The 27,526-nt window shown below is 38.8% G+C and overlaps 1 long non-coding RNA gene across 1 annotated transcript, besides 2 other annotated features; it reads right to left on the bottom strand.

The window, feature by feature from the left end:
• Positions 1-1,615: 1,615 nt before the first annotated feature.
• LOC105374489 (uncharacterized) lies at positions 1,616-3,850 on the bottom strand. The gene is made up of 3 exons (XR_925403.2): positions 3,113-3,850; positions 2,379-2,548; positions 1,616-1,967 (listed from the first exon to the last, which is right to left on the bottom strand). It is a non-coding gene; the product is annotated as an uncharacterized LOC105374489 (long non-coding RNA).
• Positions 3,075-3,682: an enhancer, noted in NCBI's record as "OCT4-NANOG hESC enhancer chr4:11823529-11824136 (GRCh37/hg19 assembly coordinates)". NCBI's record gives its function as "activates a minimal SCP1, AML or CMV promoter by ChIP-STARR-seq in primed H9 embryonic stem cells {active_cell/tissue: H9 hESC(primed)}" and the evidence as "EXISTENCE:reporter gene assay evidence [ECO:0000049][PMID:30033119]".
• Positions 18,882-19,511: an enhancer, noted in NCBI's record as "OCT4-NANOG hESC enhancer chr4:11807700-11808329 (GRCh37/hg19 assembly coordinates)". NCBI's record gives its function as "activates a minimal SCP1, AML or CMV promoter by ChIP-STARR-seq in primed H9 embryonic stem cells {active_cell/tissue: H9 hESC(primed)}" and the evidence as "EXISTENCE:reporter gene assay evidence [ECO:0000049][PMID:30033119]".

The raw sequence follows: 27,526 nt of genomic DNA, 5'->3' as shown, positions 1-27,526 counted from the left end.
ATTGAGAGTTCTCCTTTAAATATGTTAATTGTGAGATAACTCTTGGGCATACAAATGATACATTGACTCTGAAGCTCAGGTAAAAGAATGGGTTTAATTTGTTTTGTCAGTGTTAAGCATACAGTTGTTTTGGAAATCCATGAAACTCAATAAGATCATCTAGGGAATGATAACAGAGAGAAAACTATCTTAAAATATGAGCTCCAGGCTACTGCAAAAGTGCTCACTGGAGTACCTTTAAATAAACTGAGTCATACTGAAAAGCAACACACACACACACACACATATGCACACACACACATATACACATACACAAAAAGGATGAAGGAGGAATGGAGAAACAGAACCACTGTTTTATACATTTATTAGGTAGTTTTCAGACATCATCTCATTTAATTTTCATAAATATAAGGTGTCTATAAAAGACAAAAAAAACAAAAAAGACTAAGGAAGTATGCTGGTAAAATTGTGAAAAATTGGGAGATATTAAATAAATAAAATGTTTTAGATACCAGAAGTTTCATTTCTGCCCAACCCTGCAGACAGGTAAAATAAAAATGACGACTGAGACTGACCATTGGATTAACCATGCAGCAATCACTGGCAACCTTGACTAAAGCAATTTCAGTGGTATGGTGGAGAGAAAAATAGGATAGAAATGGGTTCAAGAAAGAACGGTAAGTGAGGATATGAGGACAGCAAGTAGGGTTTTTGTAGTATTTTGTAGTATTCCTTGTAGTTTTCTCTCAGTGATCTAGAGAAATTAGGAAGTAGCTAGAGTGATGAGAGATCAAGAGAGATACTACAGAATATTTGGTAACATCCTGCATTGCATAATACAGATGTTTCTGCAAAGAAAGCTGGATGCTCTGGGAGGAAGGAGTATAATCACAGAAGTGAGGAATATGAGTACCCAAGAGCTTATGGGAGCCAATGCACGAACCAGAATTTGGTCCTCCATGGGAGGGGGGACAGTAAATCTATTGCAATGGGAAAGGAGTTAGGAATAGGTAGAAAAGAGGGAACAAAAGGCTTAGATACGGATAGATCGGTGAACGTGAAGATGTGCAAGTTAGAGAATTCCCATATGGTTTTCCTAGTGAGATACAATGACTTTCAGAAGACAGCTTGGAAGTTTTGATGAGACTATGAAAAATTGAGGATGAACTGATTCTAATCCAGAGCTATTTCAGTAAATAACCCTGGGAAAAGAGTGAGAATAACGAGAGGTTCCCATTTGACCTAGGAAGAAAACTAAGATGTAAACTTGATGAGGTTAATCTTAATCTTCTAAGAAAAAGTAGATAATCAGTTCTTATAGATTGCTTCATGAGCAAGGTCTCTTATGTGCTGTATAACAGTGAAGTCTTCAGTGCTGTGAGGAGGCAACTCTTGATAAGGTTCAGATGAGCTCTCTGAGTTCATTTTTCAATCTCCTTGAGGAGCAAAAAGAACTCTGTGGATCTCCTTTAAAACCAGGTCTGCAGGAGACAGTGAAGCCAATTGGGAGAGATAGTCTAACCTGGAGCTTCTGTGAGTATGAAAAGCTCAAAATTAAACTTATAAAATCTTTCTTATATGGGGCATCTGACCTATAGAAAGGATTGTAAAAAAAAAAAAAAAAGACTCATTGTCTTAGCCCATTTGTGCTGCTGTAACAAAATAGCACAGACTATATAATTTATGAACAATAGAAATTTATTTCTCATGATTCTGGAGGCTGGAAAGTTCAAGATCAAGGCACTAGCAGAAGTGGCATCTGGTGAGGGCTGCTTTCAGCTTCCAAGATGGCATCTTATTGTTGCGTCCTCTGGAGGGGAGGAGCACTGCCGTCTCACATGGCAGAAGAGCAGAAGAGCAAGAGAGTGCTCCCTTCCACTTGGAGCCCTCTTAAAAGGGTGCTAATCCCACATGTGAAGGTGGAGCCATCATAACTCAATCACCTTACAAGACTGCACCTGTTAATACTATTGCATGAAGTAGTTTCAACATAAATTTTAGAGGGAACACATTCAAACAATATCACCTACCAATATTATTTAAAATAAGAATGCTATTTTCACATATTCTCTACTGTTTAAGCTCTGATCAGAACTGGAAATCAGTCAAGGCTCTCTCTCAGCCAGGATGGGTCTTCAGAGTCCTATACCCACCACACTCTCATCAGTCACCTCCTATGTATTGGAGTCAGCATGAGAGAAGAAAATGTCCCAAACACATCTCTGCCTTCAACACACCTCCATTCTACTAACACGTCTCAAAAATGAACTCCTGATCTCCCCTTAACTCCGGCATATACCAATATGCTTTCAAAATCCCAATCCCCGCCAAAGAATCCTGTTTTTTTCTTATAGGCCAAATATAATTGATCAACCTACCTGGTCAGTTCTAAATTTAAAATGAATCCAGAAACTTCTGCTCTTTTCATTGCTTCCATTGCAACTCCTGGGTCCAAGTTTTCATCATCAGTAGCCAGGATTGCCATAACTGATCTCCTTCTGCCCTTTAGCCCAGGTAGTCTGTTTACAACACAGCAGCCAGGACGATCCTTTAAACAGGTTTAGATCAAGTCACCTCACTGTTTTGCTCACAACCCTCCAGGGAATTTCCATCTCATCACCTGGCTTCATGACCTGTGGTCCTCCCCTCTCTGACATCAACTACCTTCCCTTTTTTTCTCATTTAATTTTAGCTGTGCTGGCTTTTCTGTTCTTCCCTCTTCCAAGAAAGGTTTTCCTCAGATAGCAAGAATCTAACTCCTTTTCCTCCCTGCTCTGCTGCTGCCTTTTCATACAGCCTTTCACTATGCCCTCCCCACTTGATGCTGCAGCCACACCCAACCACCTCCACCTTGCACACTTAATCCTCTTAATGCCTTTTATATTTTTCCTGACATTTATTACTATCTGACATACCTTACATTTAACATACATTTTGTTTATTGTTTCCACCCTCACCCCCCAAATTATATAAATTATATTCTAAGAAAGCACAGATTTTGATCAATATTTGGTCTCCAGCACCTAAAAAGTCCTCAGTACACAGAAGGTTCTCGAAGAATAAATGAAGAAATTAATGAATTTGCAAACTCTGATGTAAGCAATGCTCTTACCTGAGCACAATTACTTTTCAAAATGCAGCGTGCTTGTGGAGTTCAGTTTGATCCAGTTTGCAGTCATCTGAGTGAAAGAGTTTCCTCTTGGAAGTAATTCTGTAAGCCATCAGCTCCCTTAGGGGTGCTTTTATCAATTCTGAAAGCAAGTTTTGCCACTCATCAGCTGTTTGCAGGAGGACTGAGCAGACCTCTCTGTGCTCAGCATTGGAAGCCTCTCTCACCTCCCTCCTGGGACATTTGCAGTTTCAGGAGTATTCCCTGCCTGCTGCAAAGCTCCCTGTTAGCTGGCTCTGCCATCTACATCAAAAAGGTCACCTCTAGTTACTTGTTATTCCAATATGCAACTACTTCATCTATTTTTCTCCTTCACTTTTTTCTTCCCTTGACCTGAGTTAATCCACTCATTATCTGCCTCCCACTTGGATCAAATCCCCCTTCAAATTTAGTTCTTGTTCTGGCCCTGCCTTTGCAGACCTCCACAGGCATTTCACAAGAGTCAGTGTTTAAAGACAACTTTTTTTCAGGCCCAGGCCCAATTGTTGGCCAAAGAACAAAGAAGAATGAGCTACTTTCCAAGGAAACAGGGCTGCTGCCGAGTAGTCCCCTTTCTAACAATGCCCTTCTTGTCTGCAGAAATCTGAATCTCTGTATTAAATAAGAAAAGGAACGAAGTAACAGGTAATATTTGTTGAAATCTACTTTGTTCCCAAGGATTGTGCCTAGAGCATTTTTTATAGTTAGTGTCAAATAATCGTTGCACGCATGCATCCTATACGTTAGGTAGCTAGTAATCAACTCCCTGTAAAATGAGACATTAAAAAAAAAAGAAATATGATGATGCCACCATTGTGCTCAAAACCTTTCAGTGACTTCTTATTTTGTGTAGACTAAAATCCTAAGTATGGCCAACTGGGACTTGTACATCTGTCTGACTTCATACACCAATCCTCTCACTGCCCTCTTACCCTCTGTTACCCATGGTTAGAACCTCATATCTTTTTGCAAAAACTCCAGTGTCTATGCATTTACTGTTTCTTCTGCATGACCTGCTCATCCTTCTCCCCACATATAATCCCTTGGTTCCCAGTATCTCTCAATCCAACTGTTATCTTTCCTGGAAAACATTAGCTGACCAATCTACATGATGGCTGCCAAGTTTGGAAACAGAGAAAACTGTGTAACAGAGGAAAATATCGAAAATGGTTTATCAACATAAAATAATGGTATTTCAACGGCCACATCTTATGGGCAACTTGTATTTAAGTCACGTCCCTTCAATTATCCCTAGTTCTTTATTTTACACATTTCTGTACATTAAATGTGTTTGTTTTCATCATTTCTGTGCCTCATAAGAATATCTGTTCCCCGAGGATAGAGCCTTGCTATGTTTACTGCCAGCTCCCTGAGGTCTAGAGGCATGATGTTAGAGAATTGGCAGCAGTTAACTCTGGTGAATGAATGAACTGAGCAAGTAGAAGTGCAGGCAATGTAAATAACTTGTTCAAGTTCACAGAGCTACTAAATGGCTTAGTCAAAATTTGAAGCAAATTCTGATTCCAAAGCCAACATTTCTTCCACCACTACAGATACAATTCCCCTTCTTGTCTTGTGGTCGTTTAAAACTGTAAAAGCACCAGGGTATGAATGGAAAGGATAGTCAGCAATGAACTTATAACCAGGCCACTGGCAAATGAAATGGAAGCAGCCCTGGCATAAGGCGAGGTGACAGCATGTCAGGAGGGAGCAGAAACTTGGGAGTCCCAGGGAGCCATGTCCATCACCGCCTCTTCTACTTCCTAGAAGTTTTGAACTGGAGTATTTGTGTTGGGTTTCAGTTTCTTCAGCCACATAATAAAAACTAGAGTAATTTGTAAAATGATCATATTATCCATCCAGCCTCTGAGACTCAGACATCCTGAAATCAAATTCTGATATCATAATACGAACACTGACCGTGACCAAATAATTTGAACTTGTTAACCCAATTTAAATTTAAATTAAGAGAATACAAATTGAATTAGAGATACAAATAATATCTTAATGTAGGTTCATCAATTGTGAATAATGCAAGACTGTTGGGAAGTGTCAATAATGAGGAAGGCTGTGCACAGATACATGGAAAGTCTCTGTACCTTCCTTTCAATTTTGATGTGCAACTAAAACTGCTCTAAAAAAATAAGTCTTAGGCCAAGGCAGGCAGATCACGGGGTCAGGAGATCGAGACCATCTTGGCAACATGGTGAAACCCCATCTGTACTAAAAATACAAAAAAAATGAGCCAGGTGTGGTGGTGGGCGCCTGTAGTCCCAGCTACTTGGGAGGCTGAGGTAGGAGAATGGTGTGAACCCAGGAGGCGGAGCTTGCAGTGAGCCAAGATTGCGCCACTGCACTCCAGCCTAGGCTACAGAGCAAGACTCTGTCTCAAAAAGAAAAAAAAAAAGTCTTTTTGTGAAAAAAGTATGCTGGCTACAAAGGAGATACTCCTCCCTCCTGAGGAAGTCCCTGATGATTGACCTTTCTACAGAAACCACTTGATATGATTATAAGCTATAAACAAACAAAAACCTCATATATCAAAACTCAAAAACCTAGTAAAGAAGGTCACCCCCTTCAGTGGCTTTTAGGAGATAAAATGGGATTAGGGCTCTCCCTTTTCTCTCATCCAAGCTTCATCTTTATTCTCACACATTTTATAGAACATAAGTTATGACAAAAATAGTATATTCAACATAGAATAACTGTGAGTTTATTCATGTCATATAAATTCCTTAGCACATTGGTCAATTTATGCAAGTAGTTTCATGCTACTACAAGTTTTGCATCTTCTTTTTCTTTGTCATCTTCATACTCGTTGTTTTTTAGGTGATACAGAAGAATTCCTTTCTTGAAGACAGAGATTATTTCCTATGTATATTTCTCATCTATTGCTCTACTAGGAGAATTTAAAAGCAATACTACATGCTTACAAACATTTTTGGGTTAACTAATGGTAAACTATTATAATAATGTGAACTTGTAATATGGCTTCATATCCATTGTTTTGCTTATGAATATATACTGGAAAATTTTAGTGGAGAAATCTAGCAGTTTTTGTTGTTGAAAAATAATCAACAACACTGATTTTTAAGCTTTAGAATCACTCATTCCACATTATTTTGTTGATCTTCACAACAACCCTGCATGGCAGGGTTGAGTGATAATTCTATTCTGTTTGGTCCTCATGGAAGCCTTCCTGTGTCTTATCTATTTCTCCTTCCATGATCTTCCATATTTCACAATTCTCAATGAACTTCTTTTACTCATCTGCTATATTTTAGTCAATACATATTTAGAGCCAACAAAATGTTTTCCAAACATTTCTTAAGTGCCCACCATGAAAGATCTAGAGATAAATTAGCATCAACTTTGGAGCAGGAAATTTGGATTCTAGGAGAAACAGGTACATGAACAACATAACCCTGAATTCCTCATGCTACCTTTGTCTGCAGGTACAGTTGGATCAATACAATAATAAAAGCAGAAAAACGAAAAACCTCCTTACCTCAAGCCTCATCTACAGACACAGCAGAAATCTAGCCCCAGAGATTCTTAGTCCACATAAATCAGGATCACCTGTGCTGTACTTCTTGGCAAGGCATATTTGCCAAAGGGTGGGCAAAACATGGATTGAGGAACCTCATAAAAATCCCTGAAGTGGGCAGGGCGCGGTGGCTCACGCCTGTAATCCCAGCACTTTGGGAGGCCGAGGCGGGTGGATCAAGAGGTCAGGAGATCGAGATCATCCTGGCTAACATGGTGAAACCTCGTCTCTACTAAAAATAGAAAAAATTAGCCAGGCATGGTGGTGGGCGCCTGTAGTCCCAGCTACTCTGGAGGCTGAGGCAGGAGAATGGAGTGAACCCGGGAGGAGGAGCTTGCAGTGAGCCGAGATCGCACCACTGCACTCCAGCCTGGGTGACAGAGTGAGACTCTGTCTCAATAAATAAATAAATAAATAAATAAATAAAATCCCTGAAGTTCATAGAAAAGAAGAATTGTTTCAGGAAGCAACATCTCAGTGAAGTGCAAGAATGCTAGGAATTAGCTCATCAAACCAAATGGTGATAGACATTTAGAAACAGGAGAATTTTAAATCACAGTGTTTGCAATGATAGGGGAAACTTAGAGGCAAAGATATTCTTTAAGGAAAATAACATATTAAATCCACCTGAGTACTACCTACAAACTAGGTTTCTTCACACATTCCCCTAGCATCTTTCCATCTAGATAAAGACATGCCTTCGCATACATAGAACTTGTAAAAATTCCTTTAAAAGAAATAATTAGATGGGTACTGTAAGCTCTGAGCTTAAAATGGCCATACTTGGTATAGTACAATTATAGGTCAGTTTTTAAAAAAATATACTTAAAGATGATTTTTGCACAGAGAATCCACTAACACCTATGTCTTCAATATTCTTTGTTTAAAATTTGAAAAGGTATAAGTATGCGTGTGTGTGTGACATGTCTTTCCACTAATCAATAGCCTATCTAAAATGCTTCAGCAGCCAAGTGAAATGGAGATTAAGGGCATCCACTGAGAAAAGATCAAGGGAAATGGTGAAGAATGACGCTTCTTAAGGCTTATCTAATTCAGCAGCCAGTAGTCAGTGGTTGGGGCAGCATTTTGCCCTTCTCCCCTTGAGGATGCCAGTTTGTGCATACTAGAAGCATTTAGGGATTTCGATAAGAAAACGCCTCTCTCCGGTTTGGAGCTGATTGACTGTGACTGCCCCCTGCTATCACTTCATGGCATCTGCCTTGACGATCATCATTTGATTTTCCCAACAACTCTATAAGGTTTGTTATGTTCATTCTATTTTATAAGAGAAGAAAACTGAGGTTCTAAGAGTTTAACAAAATGACCTGAGTTTTCAGAAGACACTAAGTGGCCAGATTTGTACTGAAAGACCGGACTCCTCTAACTATGAGCTATGAGAATTGAGAGCACATGTTTGCTATTTCTGGTAGGTAGCCTGCATGAGAGTATCCAATAACCCATCTCCTGATATCCACACCATTGTGTAATCCCCTCCACTTGAATGTGCACAGGACTAAATAACTCACTTTTCATAAATAGAATATGGCAGAAGTGATGGATTCCTCATCTTTGAGATTAGATTTTACAATAGTGTGCTCTGGGGGAAGCCAGCTTCCCTGTGATGACAGAGCTATGTAGAGAGGCCTACATGAGTGAACTCAGGAGATCTTTTGACATTTTTCTCTTAACCAAGAGAGTGAAGTTGTAAAGATTTTCCAAGGCCTGCCAACAGCCACAGAAATAGAACTCTTTCTAGTAGAGACTTGAGATGACCACAGCCAGGGCTGATATCTTTCATCATCATCATCATCATTATTATTATTATTATTATTATTATTATTATTATTACTTTGAGACGTGCTCTGTGGCCCAGGCTGGAGTGCAGTGGTGGGATCTTGGCTCACTGCAACCTCTGTGTTGCTGTGTTGATGCGATTCTCCTGCCTCAGCCTCCCAAGTAGCTGGGATTACAGACATGTGCCACCACGCCTGGCTATTTTGTTTTTGTATTTTTTGGTAGATTCAGGGTTTCACAATGTTGGCCAGGCTGGTTTTGAACTGGCCTCAAGTGATCCGCCTGCCTTGGCCTCCCAAAGTGCTAGGATTATAGGCTTGAGCTACCGTGTTTGGCCCAGGGCTGATATCTTGACTGAAAATTTTAAGAGACCCTAAGCCAAAACCACCCAGCTAAACTACTCCCAAATTCTTGATTCATAAAAACTGGATAATGAAAGGTATGTTGTTCTCAACAGCTGCTTTTGGGGGGAGTTTTTAATATAGCAACAGATAACTAATACAATATTGCTCTAGAAACCTACTTTTTTGGTGTTACTGAAGTGTAATGAATAATATATGTCATTTTCCAAAAACTTCATCATTATAATTTCTAAGAACTTCAGCATTATAAAAAATTCTTGTGAAGTAAGTACATGCCACCAGTTTACAGACAAAATAAATTTATGTATTATAAAACATAGCAATAGGTGATGTAATTTACATGAATCATGACATGTTTTAGCCCTGACTTAATTTACAATTAAGGATCGTTTACCTACCATGATGATAATGCAATAAAAAGATAAGAGTGCATGACAGATTCATTTAGAAAATTAAAAAATATTGACTTTAGGATTGATTTTCCTGGTATATGGGAGTGAGTAGTCAAGAAAAACCAGGGATATGGAGGATGTTTACATTTTGATCTTAAGTGCATAAAAATGGCTTTTAGATATAATTTTTGGCTAATTTGGTGAAACTAAGAGAAATATAAAGTAGAGATAGAGTAAGACCTATTTCTGTTTTATTTTTCAATTTTTATTTGACCTCTAAAGTTCCTCTCTTCTACTATTTCCTATCTCTTAAGAAACTTAGATTTTAAGTACCATTTTCTGGATTGACAGAGGTATATCCTTTCCAAGAACTTACTCATTTATTACATGCATCTGGTCCCTGTGAGGGAGACACTACATTGACTTTATAGACCTTGTGAGTTCACGCATTAAGAAGAAATAACAATCAATTATCTGATTTATGTGGCTAAAGACAGATTAATCGGTGACTTTTACATTTCCAATTAAAAATTGTTTGTCTCCTATGTATATTTACTTAGTGTTTAGGATGAATAGCTTGTTAATTTACTTAAAACTAGAGATTTGAAAGCTTCTCAGATTATGTTATAGGTTTTTTTTTTTTTTAATCTTTCTTCTCTTCAAGCTGTAAGTCAAGCTGAAATATTGAAGTTGATCAGAATTAAACTGCTGTCTCCTGGATCCTGTACAACATTCCCTTCACCATGCAAATTTAGTCAACAGAAGGTCAGGTTCAAAACCCTAAAACAACTGTCATGGTAATGATTTTGAAGTAAAGAAACCTCTGACTGGGACTGTGTCTAGACATGGTTACCCAACTAGACTTGGCTATTTAATGATTCTGCCCTCTTGACAGTTGCCTCCATCAAATCAATTGTGTGATGATCTTCTTTAGTTGGCAAAGTAATTTATATTCTCAGCCTATGCAGACATTACAATAGCATTATTACTCTTGAGATGTTTACATTGAAATAAAATTCATATAACATAAAATTAACCATTGTATTTTATTATTTGCTTTTTATTTATTACTAACTTGGGGGGAAGAAGTTCAGAATATTTTTGATAATAATTGTATAAATTTATGGATATCATGTTTCAGTACATGTATATATTGCAAAATGATCAAATTGGCTAATTAGCATACTCATGACCTCAAAAAGTTATTATTTCTGTTTGTTGAGAACCTTTAAAATTCTCTCTTTTAGCTATTTCGAAAAATTCAAACACTGCTATTAATTATCATTACTGGGCTGTGCAATAAAACACCAGGGTATATAACTCATCAGCATTCAGCACATCCACAATATTGTGCAACCACCACCTCTGTCAGCTTGCAAAACATTTTCTTCACTCCAAAAGAAAAACTTATACCCATTAAGCAGTCACATGCCATTCCTCACCCCCACTTCTAGCCCCTGGCAACCACCCATCTGCTCTCTCTCTCTCTCTGTGGATTTTCGTATTCTGGAAATCATACAAATGAAATCATACAATCTGTGGCTTTTTGTGTTTGGCTTTTCCACTTAGCATAATGTGCCTAAGGTATATCCATGTATAGCATGTTTCCATACCTCATATCCTTTAATGGCTTAATAATATTCCATTGTTTGTACTTATCACATTTTGTTCACCCATTTATTTGTTGATGAACATTTGGGCAGTTTCCACTTTTTAGATATTGTAGGTAGTGCTGCTATGAACATTTTATGTACACGTATTTGAGTATCTGTCTTTCAATATACTAAGTTTCCTACAGGATCTTTTTTTTTTTTTTTTTTTTTTTTGAGACAGTCTCCCTCTGTTGCCAGGCTGGAATGCAGTGGCCCGACCTCGGCTCACTGCAACCTCCGCATCCCAGGTTATAGCAATTCTTCTGCCTCAGCCTCCCAAGTAGCTGTATGAACCTTCACACTTTATTAGATTACCTACCACCTACTACTTTATTATGTGAAGCTTGTTTTCCTCAAAATCTTTGCAGGTATTTCCAAGGGAGTCTCTAAACACTAAGCAGAGAAGTGCCTTGTCAAGCTTGAGAGAGGGATTTCCATATTTCCTGTTACTGTTAGTGATACCGTTGTTATTAATATGTTTTATATCTGTCTGTCAATTATGTGTCATGTGTTTTGAATTATGTAAGAAGGATTTTACAGCAGCACATATAACAATAGGAGGGTTATAACAAGCTGCTCTTATTCTGCAGCTGATTTGTTATTTAAACTGAGTGCAGTGGAAAAAATTGCTTGTATTTTTCCTCTTAGTTTTATGTTTCCCTTGCATTCTTACAGCACCAAAAGGTTTCTTTGTAACATAAGACTATTCTAAAGAAGAAAAATAGCCATAATATTTAAACTTACATGAAAATACTTTATTTTGAAGCTGTCTTACGATACATTTTCATAATGGTTAAAAACTGTTTGGTATTTTACGTGGGACATAGGAAAACAATTAGTAATTTTTCTACATCCTAGGCACAAGGGCCTGTTTTTAAATTTTTATTCTCTAGTTTGAATATGAAGTCAAGATTTGGAAGGAAACAGGGCTGAATCTTATGACTACAGATTCAGGACTTCGAAAACAGGTGTTCATCAAGCTGAAAAGAAAAAAATAAAAGAAAAGATATAGTCAAGCTTTTCATAGAACCTGTAGAAAAACCAAGGTTTGTATTTCAGTCGTCTTTACAAAAACAATGAGTTATGTTTCAGAACACTTTCTTCATTTGTTGGAGTATAAAAATAGAGAAAAAGGATGGAAGGGTGTCTTAGATCTGTCTTTTTAGAGGGTTCTACTGCTGAAGCTAAGATGGGGTAAACATTTTAAGTCTGGATGAATAATTATTTGCATATTTTAATGGCCTTGCCAAGTAGAATCTTCATAGATTTGGGTGATGGATGCGTATTTAATTAGCAAACTGAATGTGTTCAAGATAGTAAATCTTCTGGCCCAGGACCATTCCTGTTTTCTCTGCTTTTAATGAGTATTCTATGAAATAAATGAGTTAGATGAGTATTCTATGAAATAAATGAGTTAAATGAGTTAGATGATAAAATACATTTATCTCAAAAACACTGAGGGGACATGGCCACATTTCCATCTTTCAGCTTCTGTTTTCCAGTCACCTGCATCTGAGGGTGTGGATAAACTTCACCTCAGGGCCATCTAGTTTCTATACAAGCCCTCATTCGTCCTTGAAGAGAATTCAGAACAGCACAACCTAACATTTGGGTCCTGTGAATTGTTTGGCTTCTTAACTGTCCTTGACTCTCCTACTTTGGTTTAGAATGCTAATTTTATTTTAGATCCCTCTAGAAGGTGGCAGATACAGCTTGGAGACCTCTCCAGATCTGATGAGAAGGGTAGTTACTTCATCTTGATACAGGAGGCATACGTACTTAGCCACTCTTTCTCAGTCTGTGAAACATATATTGCCTTTGGTACATCACTTCAAAGTTAATTATCAGTTGTTTGAAGGTTAAGTTTATTATAATCTTCTAGTGGCTATGACGTAGGTATATGGCATTATGCTGCCCACCGCCCTCCACCGAAGGTGGTCTGGAGTAGAAGCTAAATTAGAACAAGCTCACTCACCAAGCTGTTAAATAATTTTTAAATATAACCAGTAGCTTTGGAGTTTCTTTCTGTTTTCCTTTTAGGACTAGAATGCCTCCCTACTTAACTCACATGAATTCTTTTGTGCTTCTGTTATGTCCTTATCTCTTAATTCTCCTTGAATGTTTTGTATTCTGTCATATCTCCAACCCTAATCACTGTAACCACTACTCCATATACTTCCTATTCACTTAGATCTTGACATTCTGTCTTGTCAATATCACTGTTATTTCCCACCTAGTACCACCTAATTTAAGGTGTCCTGTCCTAGGCTTCACGAGTGATAATAAGTGCAAGGCTGTTTAGACTAGCTCAGGGTTGTCACAGGCCCTGTGCCATGACCTGTTCAGAATATTCACTTGTCCCTGGCTTTTTGAGATTCTAGCTTGGTTTTGTGTGTTTGCCCTTCTTATGACAGGTTTGCTTCTCCAGTCATTGTGAAAGTCAGCCCTGATTATTTGACTTGTTCCTCAAATGTTGGTTCTTCTGTTAATTCTCCCACTATAGCTTCACATTTAGAAAGTCAGTGTTTCCAATCTCATTCCTACTGAAGATCAAAACAGATCCCTTTATTTAGTCCTCGATACCTCAATGCTATGCCTGTTGCAGAAGAGGGATTATTTCCAGTGCAAGTGCTTCTTGTTGCTTCTAGTCTCCTCTTCTTCACTCTCCTCTCTCTTTTCTATCTCCTTATATGTCCTTGATATAGATTGATGGATTATTAATGAATAAACAAAAACAAACACACAAACAAATTTCATGCACATCCCTATGAAGAGACTACCAAATAGGCTTTGTGTGAGCAATAAAGCTTTTAATCACCTGGGGGCAGGCAGGCTGAGTCCGAAAAGAGAGTCAGCAAATGGAGATAAGGGTGGGGCCATTTTATAGGATTTGGGTAGATAAAGGAAAATTACAATCAAAGGGGGGTTGCTCTCTGGCGGGCAGAGTGGGGAATCACAAGGTGCTCAGTAGGGGAGCTTTTGAGCCAGGATAAGCCAGGAGAAGGAATTTCACAAGACAATGTCATCAGTTAAGGCAGGAACAGGCCATCTGGTTGCGCACATGCAGGTCACAGGGGTTATGATGGCTTAGCTTGGGCTCAGAGGCCTGATATTCCTGTCTTCTTATATTAATAAGAAAAATAAAATGAAATAGTGGTAAAGTGTTGGGACGGTGAAAATTTTTGGGGGTGGTATGGAGAGATAATGGGCGATGTTTCTCAGGGCTGCTTCGAGTGGGATGAGGGGCGGCATGGGAACCTAGAGTGGGAGAGATTAAGCTGAAGGAAGATTTTGTGGTAAGGGGTGATACTGTGGGGTTGTTAGAAGAAACATTTGTTGTGTAGAATTATTGGTGATGGCCTGGATATGGTTTTGTATGAATTGAAAAACTAAATGGAATAAGAGAAGGAGAAAAACAGGTATAAAAGGTCTAAGAATTGGGAGGACCTAGGACATCTGATTAGAGAGTGCCTAAGGAGATTCAGCATAGTCCTGCCAGCAAAGATTATTTATTTACTTCAAGAGTTTAGAGCAGCAGTTTGGGGATAGCACCAGGAGATATCAGCTGTGAAGGCTTGGAGAAACAGTATAAACCGGCAGTGTAAACAAGATCAGGGCATGTATGAGTAGTTGAGAACAGTGAATAGGAGTATGACTAGACAGAAGATAGTAGGGATGACAAGATTTTGGGGGGGCACAGTCTAAGTTGGTCTGGTGTCTGGAATGAGACTAGGGCCTAATAAAAAGGAGCGTCTATACAGGAGCTTAAATGGGCTGTACCTTGTAGCATTCTGAGGACAGGCCTGAATTCTGAGAAGCGAAAGTGGTAAAAGTATTGTCCAGTCCTTTTTAAGTCGGTGACTGAGCTTCGTGAGGTGTGTTTTTAAAAGACTATTAGTCTGTTCTACCTTTCCTGAAGACTGAGGACTGTAAGGGATATAAAGGTTCCACTGAATACTAAGAGCCTGAAAAACTGCTTGGCTGATTTGACTAATAAAGGCTGGTCTGTTATTAGACTGTATAGAGGTGGGAAGGCTAAATTGAGGAATTATGTCTGACAGAAGGGAAGAAATGACTGCGGTGGCCTTCTCAGACCCTGTAGGAAAGGCCTCTACCTATCCAGTGAAAGTGTCTACTTAGAATAAGAGGTATTTTAGTTATCTGACTCATGGCATGTTGAGTAAAGCTAATTTGCCAGTCCTGGGTCAGGGCAAATCCTCGAGCTTGATGTGTAGGGAAGGGAGAGGGCCTGAATAATCCCTGAGGAGTAGTAGAATAGCAGATGGAACACTGAGAAGTTATTTCCTTGAGGATAGATTTCCACAATGAAAAGGAGATGAGAGGTTCTAAGAGGCGGGCTAGTGGCTTGTACTATAGCATAGCCTGCCTTTGATGGTGTGTGGCAATTAGGCCTAGTGGAACTGCCATCAATAAATTAAGCGTGATCAGGGTGAGGAACAGGAAAGAAGGAAATATGGGTAAATGGGGTGAATGTCAGATGGATCAGAGAGATACAGTCATGGGGGTCAGGTGTGGTATCAGGAATAATGTGGGAGGCTGGATTGAAGTCCAGGCCAAGAACAATGGTAATTGTGGGAGACTCAACAAAGAGTGAGTACAGCTGAAAGAGCCAGGGAGCAGAAAGTATATGCATCAGGTATGAGGAAGAAAATAGATTTTGGAAGTTATGAGAAATGTAGAGAGTGAGTTGAGCATAGCTTGTGATTTTTAGGGCCTCTAAAAGTATTAAAACAGCGGCAGCTGCTGCACACAGACATGAGGGCTAGGCTAAAACAGTGAGGTCAAGTTGTTTGGACAGAAAGGCTACAGGGTGCAGTCCTGGCTCTTGTGTAAGAATTCTGACCACGCTAACCATGCCTAGGAAGGAAAGGAGTCATTGTTTTGTAAGGGATTCAGGTTTGGGAGATTAATTGGACACAATCAGCAGGGAGAGCACGTGTGCTTTTATGAGAATTATGCCAAGATACGTAACAGATGAGGATGAAATTTGGGCTTGACTGAAGTAACGGGGGCTGTCTGTGAAGCTTTGCGGCTTTATAGCCCAGGTAATTTGCTGAGCTTAATGGGTGTCAGGGTCAGTCCAAGTGAAAGCAAAGAGAGGCTGGGATGAAGGGTGCAAAGGAATAGTAAAGAAAGCATGTTTGAGATCTAGAATGGAATAATGGGTTGTAGAAGGAGGTATTGAGGATAGGAGAGTATATGGGTTTGACACCGTGGGGTGGATAGGCAAAACAATTTGATTGATAAAGCGCAGATCCTGAACTAACCTGTAAGTCTTGTCTGGTTTTAGGACAAGTAAAATGGGGGAATTGTAAGGAGAGTTTATAGGTTTTAGAAGCCTGTGCTGTAGCAGGTGAGTGATAACAGGCTTTAATCCTTTTAAAGCATGCTGTAGGATAGGATATTGGCATTGAGTGGGGTAAGAGTGATTAGGTTTTAATGGGATGGTAAGGGGTGCAAGATCGGTTGCTAAGGAGGGAGTAGAGATATCTTATACTTGTGGGTTAAGGTGGGGAGATACAAGGGGAGGATGTGAAGGAGGCTTTGAACTGGGGGAAAAGGTGGCAATGCAGTGCGGCTGTAGCCCAGGAATAGTCAGGGAAGCACATAATTTAGTTAAAGTGTCTCAGCCTAATAAGGGAACTGGGCAGGTAGGGATAACTAAAAAGGAGTGCTTAGAAGAGTATTGTCTAAGTTGGCACCAGAGTTGGGGAGCTTTAAGAGGTTTAGAAGCTTGGCCGTCAATACTTAACAACAGTTATGGAGGCAAGGGAAACAGGTCCTTGAAAAGAAGGTAATGTGGAGTGGGCAGCCTCCGTATTGATTAAGAAGGGGATGGACTTACCCTCCACTGTGAGAGTTACTTAAAGCTCGGCATCCTTGATGGTCTACGGGGCTTCCGAAGCGATGGGGCAGCATCAGTCTTCAGCTGCTAAGCTGAGATGATCTGGGAAGGAGTCAGTCAAAGAGCCTCGGGCCAGAGTTCCAGGGGCTCTGGGAATGGCTGCCAGGTGAGTTGAACAGTGTGATTTTCAGTGGGGTCCTGCACAGACGAGAGGAGGCTTAGGAGGAATCCTGGGCTGCAGGCATTCCTTGGCCTGGTGGCCAGATTTCTGGCACTTGTAGCAAGCTCCTGGGGGAGGCGGCTCTGGAGGGACGCCTGGCTGCTGCGGTTCAGGTGTTTGGAAGTTCTTGTGTGCTGGAGATGTGGCTGGGGTTTGTCTCACAGTGGAGGCAAGGAATTGCAACTCAGAAATACACTGTTACTTGGCTGCCTCTACTCTATTATTGTACACCTTGAAGGCGAGGTTAATTAAGTCCTGTTGTGGGGTTTGAGGGCTGGAATTTAATTTTTGGAGTTTTATTTAATGTCGAGAGCAGATTGGGTAATATAATGTATATTGAGAATAAGACGGCCTTTTGACCTTTTAGGGTCTAGGGCTGTAAAGCATCTCAGGGTTGCTGCCAAATGAGCCATGAACTGGGCTGGATTTTTATATTTGATGAAAAAGAGGCTGAACGCTATCTGATTTGGGATAAAGAAAAAGGAGCATTAACTTTGACTATGCCTTTAGCTCCAGCCACCTTTTTAAGAGCAAATTGCTGGGCATGTGGGGGAGGGCTAGTCGCGGAATGAAACTGTAAGCCTGACTGGGTGTGAGGAGGGGAGGTGATAAAAGGATTATAGGGTGGAGGAGCGGAGGCTGAGGAAGAATTGGGACCTAGCTCGGCCGGGCGAGGAGGGGAGAGGTCAGATGAGTCTATAGAAAAGGAAGATTAGAAAGACTCATTGACACTTGGGGTTGGGACTGAGGGGACAGGTGGGAGGGAAAGAAGGAAGATATGGGATGAGTTGCACTGGGCACAGAGACTAGGGAGGGACTGATGTGTAAAAGAATGCCTGGAGGTCAGGCACCTCAGACTGTTTGCCTATTTTACAACAAGAGTTATTTAGATCTTGCAGGATGGAAAAATTGAAAGTGCCGTTTTCTGGCTATTTGGAACCACTGTCAAGTTTGTATTCGTGTCAAGCAGCATTGCAGAAGAAAATAAGGCATTTAGATTTTATGTCAGGTGTGAGTTGAAGAGGTTTTAAGTTCTCGAGAGCACAGGCTAAGGGAGAAGAAGGAGGAATGGAGGGTGGAAGGTTGCCTATAGTGAAGGAGGGAAGCCCAGAGAAAAGAGAGAGTAGAGACACAGAGGGAAGGGGTTCGGGGGTTCTTACCATCCAGAAAAGCAGGAAAGGGGTTGGGGCACGGAAATAAGGGGTAGAGGCACAGAGATAAGAGTTCAGGGCATGGAAATAAGGGATTGGGGATTCTTGCCCCCTAGAAAAGCGGGACTTGCTGCTAAGGGTGAAGGAGAAGGGGTTGAGGGGTTCTTGCCTGTCCTTCAGAAAAGCAGAGAAGGGGTAGAGACATGGAGAGAAGGGGTTGGGGTACTTGCCCCTCCTCCAGAAAAGCAGGACTTGCCACTAAGGGTGAATGACCAAGGCAGGCGGTCCCTGCGTGGTCTGACACCTCTGAAATGTGGGTGAATAATCAGAGAGGCATCCCTGCAATGATTAAACATCAAGGGTAGGCTGCCTTCCCAGTCCGTGACCGGTGCCGGAGTTTTGGGTCCACGGATAAAACGTGTCTCCTTTGTCTCTACTAGAAAATGAAAGGAATTGAAATGAAGAGAAGGGAGAGATTGAAGTGTGGCTCCAAGATTGAAAGGAGAAAGAGGTTGAGGGATAGTGAGGGAGGTTGGAGAAGAGAGTAAAAAGAGGCCGCTTACAGGATTTGAAATTGGTGAGACGTTTCTTGGGCTGGTCAATCTGAGGACCTGAGGTTGTAGGTGGATCTTTCTCATGGAGCAAAGAGCAGGAGCACAGGGGATTGATCTCCCAAGGGAGGTCCCCCGATCCGAGTCACGGCACCAAATTTCATGCGCGTCAGTGTGAAGAGACTACCAAACAGGCTTTGTGTGAGCAATAAAACTTTTAATCACCTGGGTGCAGGCAGGCTGAGTCCGAAAAGAGAGTCAGCGAAGGGAGATAAGGATGGGGCCGTTTTATAGGATTTGGGTAGATAAAGGAGAATTGCAGTCAAAGGGGGTTTGCTCTCTGGCGGGCAGAGTCGGGGTCACAAGGTGCTCAGTAGGGGAGCTTTTGAGCCAGGATGAGCCTGGAGAAGGAATTTCACAAGATAATGTCATCAGTTAAGGCAGGAACAGGCCATTTTCACTTCTTTTGTGGTGGAATGTCATCAGTTAAGGCAGGAACAGGCCATTTTCACTTCTTTTGTGGTGGAATGTCATCAGTTAAGGCAGGAACCGGCCATCTGGATGTGTACATGCAGGTCACAGGGGATATGAAGGCTTAGCTTAGGCTCAGAGGCCTGACACAAATTAACACATAAATAAAAGTATAATTTCTGCCATTGTGAGTTCTTTAGGGGACTCACAGTCTAGCAGGGAGAGATGACATTAATGAAATTCAACAAGCACTAAGGCCACAAACAAAACACCCCATATGTGGAAAACATAGTGGTAGGCATAGTTTGTGTGGGAAGATGAGGCTAAGGAGAGCATAGAAATAGTTCTAACACACCCTGCTATTGAATTGCCACCTAGTGGGGAGAATACAGATAATGCATGGCAGCTTAGAGCAATGTGTTAGAAATTTAAATGTGATTGCAACAGGCAGTGAATAAGGAAGTCAGTTTACTGGGGTACTTGAAAAATATTTCATGAACAAGATATTTAAGCTCAAACTGGAAGGACGAATAGAGTTTTATTTACCAGAGAAATGGGAGAATATTACAGGATTGATTTCATTAAGCAAAATGTTGTAAAAGCATCTTATTGTCATAGGTGTTTAAAACTTATTAATTCACCTGGAAAAAGTAGATATTTTGATTAAATGGAATAAAGTATGCAGTTTTGTTTAAGTTTATGGGTCAAAGATAATTGTTACAGTTTTTCACAGTTATCAGCAAAGTCTTTAGTCATCCATAAACATCAGCCAACTGAAGTACAGCAGTGATAACCTTGAGGAAATTAGCATGATTCATTAGGAATTAAGAGGCTTGGGTTAATAAGAAAATTTTTATAAGATGGGTGGGGACAGATTTTACTGTTGAATCAAGATCTACCATTGCTACCTAAATGCTATGTGACTGGCTTTTTGACAACAAACTTAGGGAGAAAATATGATGATGTCTCATTTACAGATGAGAAAAGCAAAATAAAAGAAGACAAGTGATTTGTTGAAGGTCACAAAAAAGGTGGTCTGGAGTAGAAGTTAAATTAGAACAAGCTCAGTCACCAAGCCGTTCAATAATTTTTAAATATAAACAGTAGCTTGGGAGTTTCTTTCTGTTTTCCTTTTAGGACTAGAATGTCTCTCTACTTAATTCACATTAATTCTTTTGTGCTTCTGTTATGTCCTTATCTCTTAATTCTCCTTGAATGTTTTGTATTCTGTCATATCTCCCTGTCTGCACATGACAATATCTATCTTTTTTCCCATGTATTGAATAACTTAATCCTCACAACAATCCTATGAAGCAGGGGAAGAAAGGCTGTAGTTATTTCTGAGATGAGGAAAGTGATATTTGAAATGTTAAATGACTTTGTCAAGGTCATCAGGCTTCTACAGAACAAAACAGGAAAAAAAATTGGACTATTTTTACTGCAAAATGTAGCATTCTTTCAAATCCTTATTTGCAGCATTAAGCTGTGATTATGTCTCAGAAACATCCCATATGTATTCAAATTATACTTTATATTTAGACCAACTTTACATTTACAGAAAAATTGGGAATATAATACAGAGAGTTTCTTTCTATCTACTCTTTCCACGTAGTTTTCCTATTGTTACTGTGTTACCTTTGCATGGGAATTAGTCACAACTGATAAACTAATATTGATACATTATTATTTTCTAAAGTCCACACTTTAATCAGATTTTCCTACTTTTTATTTAAGGCCTGTTTTTTTCTGTTTCAGGATGCCTTATCATATTTAATCTTCTAAGGCTCTTCCTGGCTGTAACACTTTCTCAGACTCCAGCAAGACTTATCACTGTTGATGTTGACTTTGATCACCTGGCTGAAATGGCATTTGTCAGATTTCTCCACTGTAAAGTTACATTTTTATTCCCTTTCCATGGTATACCCTTTGGAAGGAAGTGATTATGAGGGATCTACACTTAAGGAATGAGGAGTTATGCTCCCCTTCCTAAGAATAAAATAGTTACAAAAATTATTTGGAATTCTTCTGCATGAGACATTTGTCCCCTCTCTATTTATTTAGTCAGTCACATTTATATCAGTTGGACTCAAAGATATTTATTTTATACTTTGAGCTATAATTTAATATTACTTTATTTTGTTGTTCAAATTGCTCCAGATGTAACATTGCTATTGGTTTCTTTAAAGTAAAGTTCAAATTTAATTTGATTTCTAAATAATTCTTTGATATGTAGGCAATTGATTGAATTATATATTTGTATATAAATATATATAAAGAATATATACACAAATACATATAGAAGGAACATAGAAATATATATATATATATATATATATATATATATATATATATATATATATACATATAGAGAGAATATACATAGACAGAAAAGAGGTTTAATTGACTCATGGTTTTACAGGCTGTACAGGAAGTATGGTGCCAGCATCTACTTCTGTTGAGGGACTTGGGAAGCTTTCAATCATGGCAGAAGGTGAAAGGGAAACAGTATGTCACATGGCAAGGATGGAAGCAAAAAGATGGCTTGAATGTTCTATATTAACCTTATATTCTGTGAGATTGCTATATTTGTCTATTAGTTACAAGGAGTGCTTTTGTCCACTTTTCCTAATTCCCTACGTAGACAATCATGTCATGTGTGAATAAAGATTTCTTTTTGTTTCTTCCTTTTAAATCTGTGTACTTTACTTACCATTTCTTATTTCATTGCACTAGCTAGGACTTCTAGCGCAGTGTTGAATAGGTGTAAAGAGAGAAGACATTCTTACCTTATACCCAGTCTTGGGAGAAACAATTAAGTTTCTCACCATTGAATACATATTAGACAAAGAACTTTTGTAGATGTTCTTTATGAAGTTAAGGAAGTGCCCCTATATTTTTAATTTGCTAAGAGTTTGTATCATGAATGAGTGCTACATTTCGTCAAATGCATTTTCTGAGACAACTGATATGATCATCTTATTTTTCTTCTTTAGCTTGTTGAAGAAGTTAACTGCAATGATTGATTTCCAAATGTTGAAACTGTCTTCATTACCTGGGTTAAAGCTCACTTCATCATGGTGTATAGTTTTATTATATATTGTTAGATGCTAGTTACTAATACTTCTTCAGGATTTTTGCTGTTATGTTTATGAAAGATGTTAGGCTATAGTTTTTCTTTTTTGTAATTTTCTTTCTGATTTTGGTACTAATGTAATGCTGGCCTCACACAATGAGTGATTTAGAATGTTTTCCCTCCAATTCAATTTTCTGGAAAAATTATAGAGGATTGGTATAGTTTATTTTATTATTTTATTGAAATATTTGGTTCAATTTAAAAGCATCTGAGCCTGGTGTTTTCTTTTTATGGAAGGTTGTTAATTATCAATTCAATTTTATTAACATAAATAGGTTTATTCAAATTAGTTATATCTCCTTGGGAATTTTGGTAGTTTGTACCTTTCATAGAATTGGTCCATTTCATGAAAGTTGTCAAGTTTGTAGGCATAGAGTTACAAATAGTATTCTGTTTTTATCCTTTAATGTCTCAGGATGATTGGTGATCATCTCCTCTTTCATTTCTGATGTTGGTAACCTGTGTCTTCAATCAAAATTGTTTATTAGTCTTTTGATAAAAACAGTTTTTTATTATGTTCATTTTCCCTTTGTTTTACTATTTTCAATTTAATGGATTTTTGTTCTAATTGTTTTCTTTACAGTTGTTTTAAACTCCAATTGCTCTTTGTATAATTTTGTTTTTAAATTTTAATTGCGAGAAAACAGGTGGCATCCCCAGGCACCATTAGATTGCGAATCAATGCTCAGTATTCAACTAAGTTGTTCTGTTTCTTAATCAGTCAAGACTACAATCCAAGGGACAAAAATTTCTTCTAAACTTTTAGAGAATGTGTTATCTATCTTTTTCTGGACATACATCACAAGTCAAATTTCATTGCTGTGTTCTACCAGTGTGTTGTGTCTCTTCTATGACAGCAATCACTTCTTGACTGTACAAAATATTCCATTAACATTTAATGCTTTAACCACATTCAACACAGTATTTGGAATGTAGGAGATATTCAATCAACATTTGTCTAATGATTCTGAGTCATGTACTGTGGTGACCTCAAAATGGTGTAAGACAAGCATCAGTCTTTTTCAAGTAGAAGTAGCGTGCCTAGTCAGCTCATTTCCAGAGGAAAAATACCCTACACACACACACAAGGAGAAAAAAACAGGGAAAGTTAATGAAAACAGTAAATGCAGAAGAATGCTTCCTTTTCCAGAGTCACAGGAAACCTGTAATGGGGTGATAAAGCTACCACACCTTTATCCCAGTCGAACAGTAATAAATATTTTGATATGTAACCAGGAGTTTATTATGACTTCGCCACTATGGTAAGATCCTCCCTCGGTTATCTGGAATGAATGTGCATCCAAAGTCCATATCCATTTCCTTTGTTTGGATATAAAAGAGAAAACACTGCAAGGGGGAAAATCAGGCCATGTACAAAAGCAGAGGCCTCCAAAAGGCAGAGCAATCTGCTTTTATAGTTTAAATTAGCGCTGTCCTGAACAGGAAAAGAAAATTAAGTGAATGATTTATAACGTCCATGTACAGGAGTAAGCAAGTGATTCTCATTCACATAAGTCATCACCTACATTATCTGAAAAAAAAACCCTTTTTTTCTATTAATTATTTACTTAATCTACCCTTGTCTTTCCTTTCTGAGGGGAACTAAAAACGATACAGTAAAACCAGTTTGCTTTCCCTGTAGGTATTTGAGATAAACATGAAACAATGTAGCTCATCAGACTGAGCTTATCATGCAACTGGTGGGCCAGAGTTCATTAACTATTCCATTCAGTCATCAGTGTTTCTGAATGATCTATTCTATGTCAGGCCCAAACTTTGTGTTTTATATTGGTTATATAGTTTAGCTAAAAAGCAAACTGATATGGTTTGATTGTGTCTCCACTCAAATCTCACCTTGAAATGTAATAATCCCCACATTTCAAGGGCAGGGCCAGATGGAGATAATTCAATCACGGGGGGCAGTTTCCCCCATACTGTTCTCTTGGTAGTGAATATGTCTCATGAGATCTGATGGTTTTATAAATGAGAGTTCCCCTGCACAAGCTCTCTCTTGCCTGACACCATGTAAGACGCGACTTTGCTCTTCCTTTGCCTTCTGCCATGATTGTGAGGCCTCCCCAGCCATGTGGAACTGTAAGTCAGTTAAACCTCTTTCCTTTATAAATTACCCAGTCTCAGGTATGTCTTTATTAGGAGTAAGAGACTCACACACAAACAAAACAAACACCAGATTAAACTAAAAAATCTCTCTAAAGAATGATAGAACATGGCAAAGCCAAAACTGAATCCAGGCTGTCTAATCTCAGTGCTTATCCTTACTGACTTTCACATATTATGGACTTTCTTTCTCATGTAATATTTAAGGAATATTAGATGTATTGAATGTCTGGTCTGGGATATTTGGTAAATATTTCCTGCGTGAAGAAACAAGTGAAAGAAGAAATAAGTTTCAATAATATTAGAATACTAAAATTATAAATACAATCAAATAAGACTTTCTATTGTAAAGAAACTCTTTTGCTGTGGGGGGGGGCATGAATCTTTAATTTTTATGTAATCAGATGTGTGACTTTATACAAATTAATGAACAGTTGCAGGAACCCAAAAGAGATACCTTAAGTAGGCCTAGAGGTAGTGAGATAGGTTTATAAAGAAAAGTTGATATTTGAGTTGGACCATAAAGTTGAATATGATTTTACCAGATGAAAACTACATAATGGCATTCTCAGCAGATGGATTGAATATGCAGACATTGAGGTAAGATGCAGTTCAGTGCATAAAGGGAACAGTTGGTATTTCTATGTAAATAGTGAATAGAGTTCATAGTGGCTGAGACTGTCAAGAAATATCATTAGGAAAGTCTAAAATTAGATTACTATGACTGTGTGAATTTGAGGGGAATTGTGCAGTACCTAACCTGTAACAGGTGTTCAATAAATGATTTAGAAATGAATCCTCTGATCTTTTAGGTAATGAGGAGTCCCTAGAGTGTTTAATTACAGATAAACTCTACAAAGACCCTACTAGCTCCTGAGTAGTAGAAAAGAGAAGCACAAGGGAATAGAAGGGAGTCTGTGCTCAAGGAGAGGTACTGACTGCAGGGCTGAGGCTCTGAACCCAAGAAGCATTTCACAGACTGAATCACAAGGACTGCTCATTTATTGGATGGGAAGGCAAGTGTCAATCTCCAACACATTCTATGTGATGCTATTTTCAAAGGAGGAAAGAAGAAGGAAGTCCATGTCTGACACAGCTATAAAAATAATAATTATTATAATCATACATATCCCCAAGGAAGTAAGAGTGAAGCCAAAGACCTTAGAGGAATCCCTATTAGCACAGATATACATAAAATGATGAAAACAAACAAACAAAAACCAGGATGCTTATGTGGTAGCCTCTTACATGGTTTCTTCTCTATCATTATTTAGAATAAAAGTGGCAACTAGTTTTTCTTCAAAAAACATATATAATGTACAGAAGAGATATCTTCAATTGCTTTTCTTATTAGAAAAATAAAACCCCACAAAACTCTTCAAATAAACAACTCCTCCTAGTCCACCTACCTCTCCTCCTTCCCCTGACTAGGAGAAGTGTTCAGACCCCAACATGCCTTTTATTAGACCAAGACTATGTTCCTAGGGTGACCCCAGTGTACCCCCACCTCTTGAAGTCCTGCCTGAAAAAATGGTCAAAGAGTTTACTGTTTGTTCTATTCAATATATGAACATGGGCTGACTTCCCATTTTCTTTAGAAAACTTACAATTTAACATCTTTTCTCTGCTCCATTGAGATGCATCTCCTGTAACCCAAGAATGTCTTTCTCAAAAACCTGGAAGCCATCCTTTTGAAATGTAATTATCACAACAGATGGAAACCCTGTCTCCCAATCTCTGTGACAGGGTAGGAGCCTAACTTCAATAAACACCTTTAGCAAACACAGATCTCGGAGTCACATTGGCCACCCTCCAACAGCATTTTAAAAGCCTCCTTCTTGCCTGTTGTTTCAATGAAGTTAAGCTCAGTTTATAGTAACCTCTCTCTGTCCTACTGCAATAACCAGAGGAAAATTTGTCTCATGTTGTAAACATGAGTTCAGTGCAAAATTTTTCTTTTTTTTTTTAATTTTTATTTTATTTTTTTATTATTATTATACTTTAAGTTTTAGGATACATGTGCACAATGTGCAGGTTAGTTACATATGTACACATGTGCCATGCTGGTGTGCTGCACCCATTAACTCATCATTTAGCATTAGGTATATCTCCTAATGCTATCCCTCCCCCCTCCCCCCACCCCACAACAGTCCCCAGTGTGTGATGTTCCCCTTGCTGTGTCCATGTGTTCTTATCGTTCAGTTCCCACCTATGAGTGAGAATATGCAGTGTTTGGTTTTTTGTCCTCGCGATAGTTTACTGAGAATGATGATTTCCAATTTCATCCATGTCCCTACAAAGGACATGAACTCATCATCTTTTATGGCTGCATAGTGTTCCGTGGTGTATATTTGCCACATTTTCTTTTTTTGTTTGTTTGTTTGTTTCACTGAAATTTAGTTTTATTTTATTCACTGTTATTTTTTTAATTTATTTTTTTTTATTATACTTTAAGTTTTAGGGTACATGTGCACATTGTGCAGGTTAGTTACATACGGATACATGTGCCTTGCTGGTGTGCAGCACCCACTAACTCATCATCTAGCATTAGGTATATCTCCCAATGCTATCCCTCCCCCCTCCCCCCACCCACAACAGTCCCCAGAGTGTGATGTTCCCCTTCCTGTGTCCATGTGATCTCATTGTTCAATTCCCACCTATGAGTGAGAATATGCGGTGTTTGGTTTTTTGTTATTGCGATAGTTTACTGAGAATGATGATTTCCAATTTCATCCATGTCCCTACAAAGGACAAGAACTCATCATTTTTTATGGCTGCATAGTATTCCATGGTGTATATGTGCCACATTTTCTTAATCCAGTCTATCATTGTTGGACATTTGGGTTGGTTGCAAGTCTTTGCTATTGTGAATAGTGCCGCAATAAACATACGTGTGCATGTGTCTTTATAGCAGCATGATTTATAATCCTTTGGGTATATACCCAGTAATGGGATGGCTGGGTCAAATGGTATTTCTAGTTCTAGATCCCTGAGGAATCACCACACTGACTTCCACAATGGTTGAACTAGTTTACAGTCCCACCAACAGTGTAAAAGTGTTCCTATTTCTCCACATCCTCTCCAGCACCTGTTGTTTCCTGACTTTTTAATGATTGCCATT

The sequence above is a fragment of the Homo sapiens genome, chromosome 4 (assembly GCF_000001405.40).
Source record: "Homo sapiens chromosome 4, GRCh38.p14 Primary Assembly".
Lineage (NCBI taxonomy): Eukaryota > Metazoa > Chordata > Mammalia > Primates > Hominidae > Homo > Homo sapiens.
The sequence above is the reverse complement of the archived record's forward strand: the minus strand, read 5'-3'. Positions and strand labels throughout refer to the sequence as shown.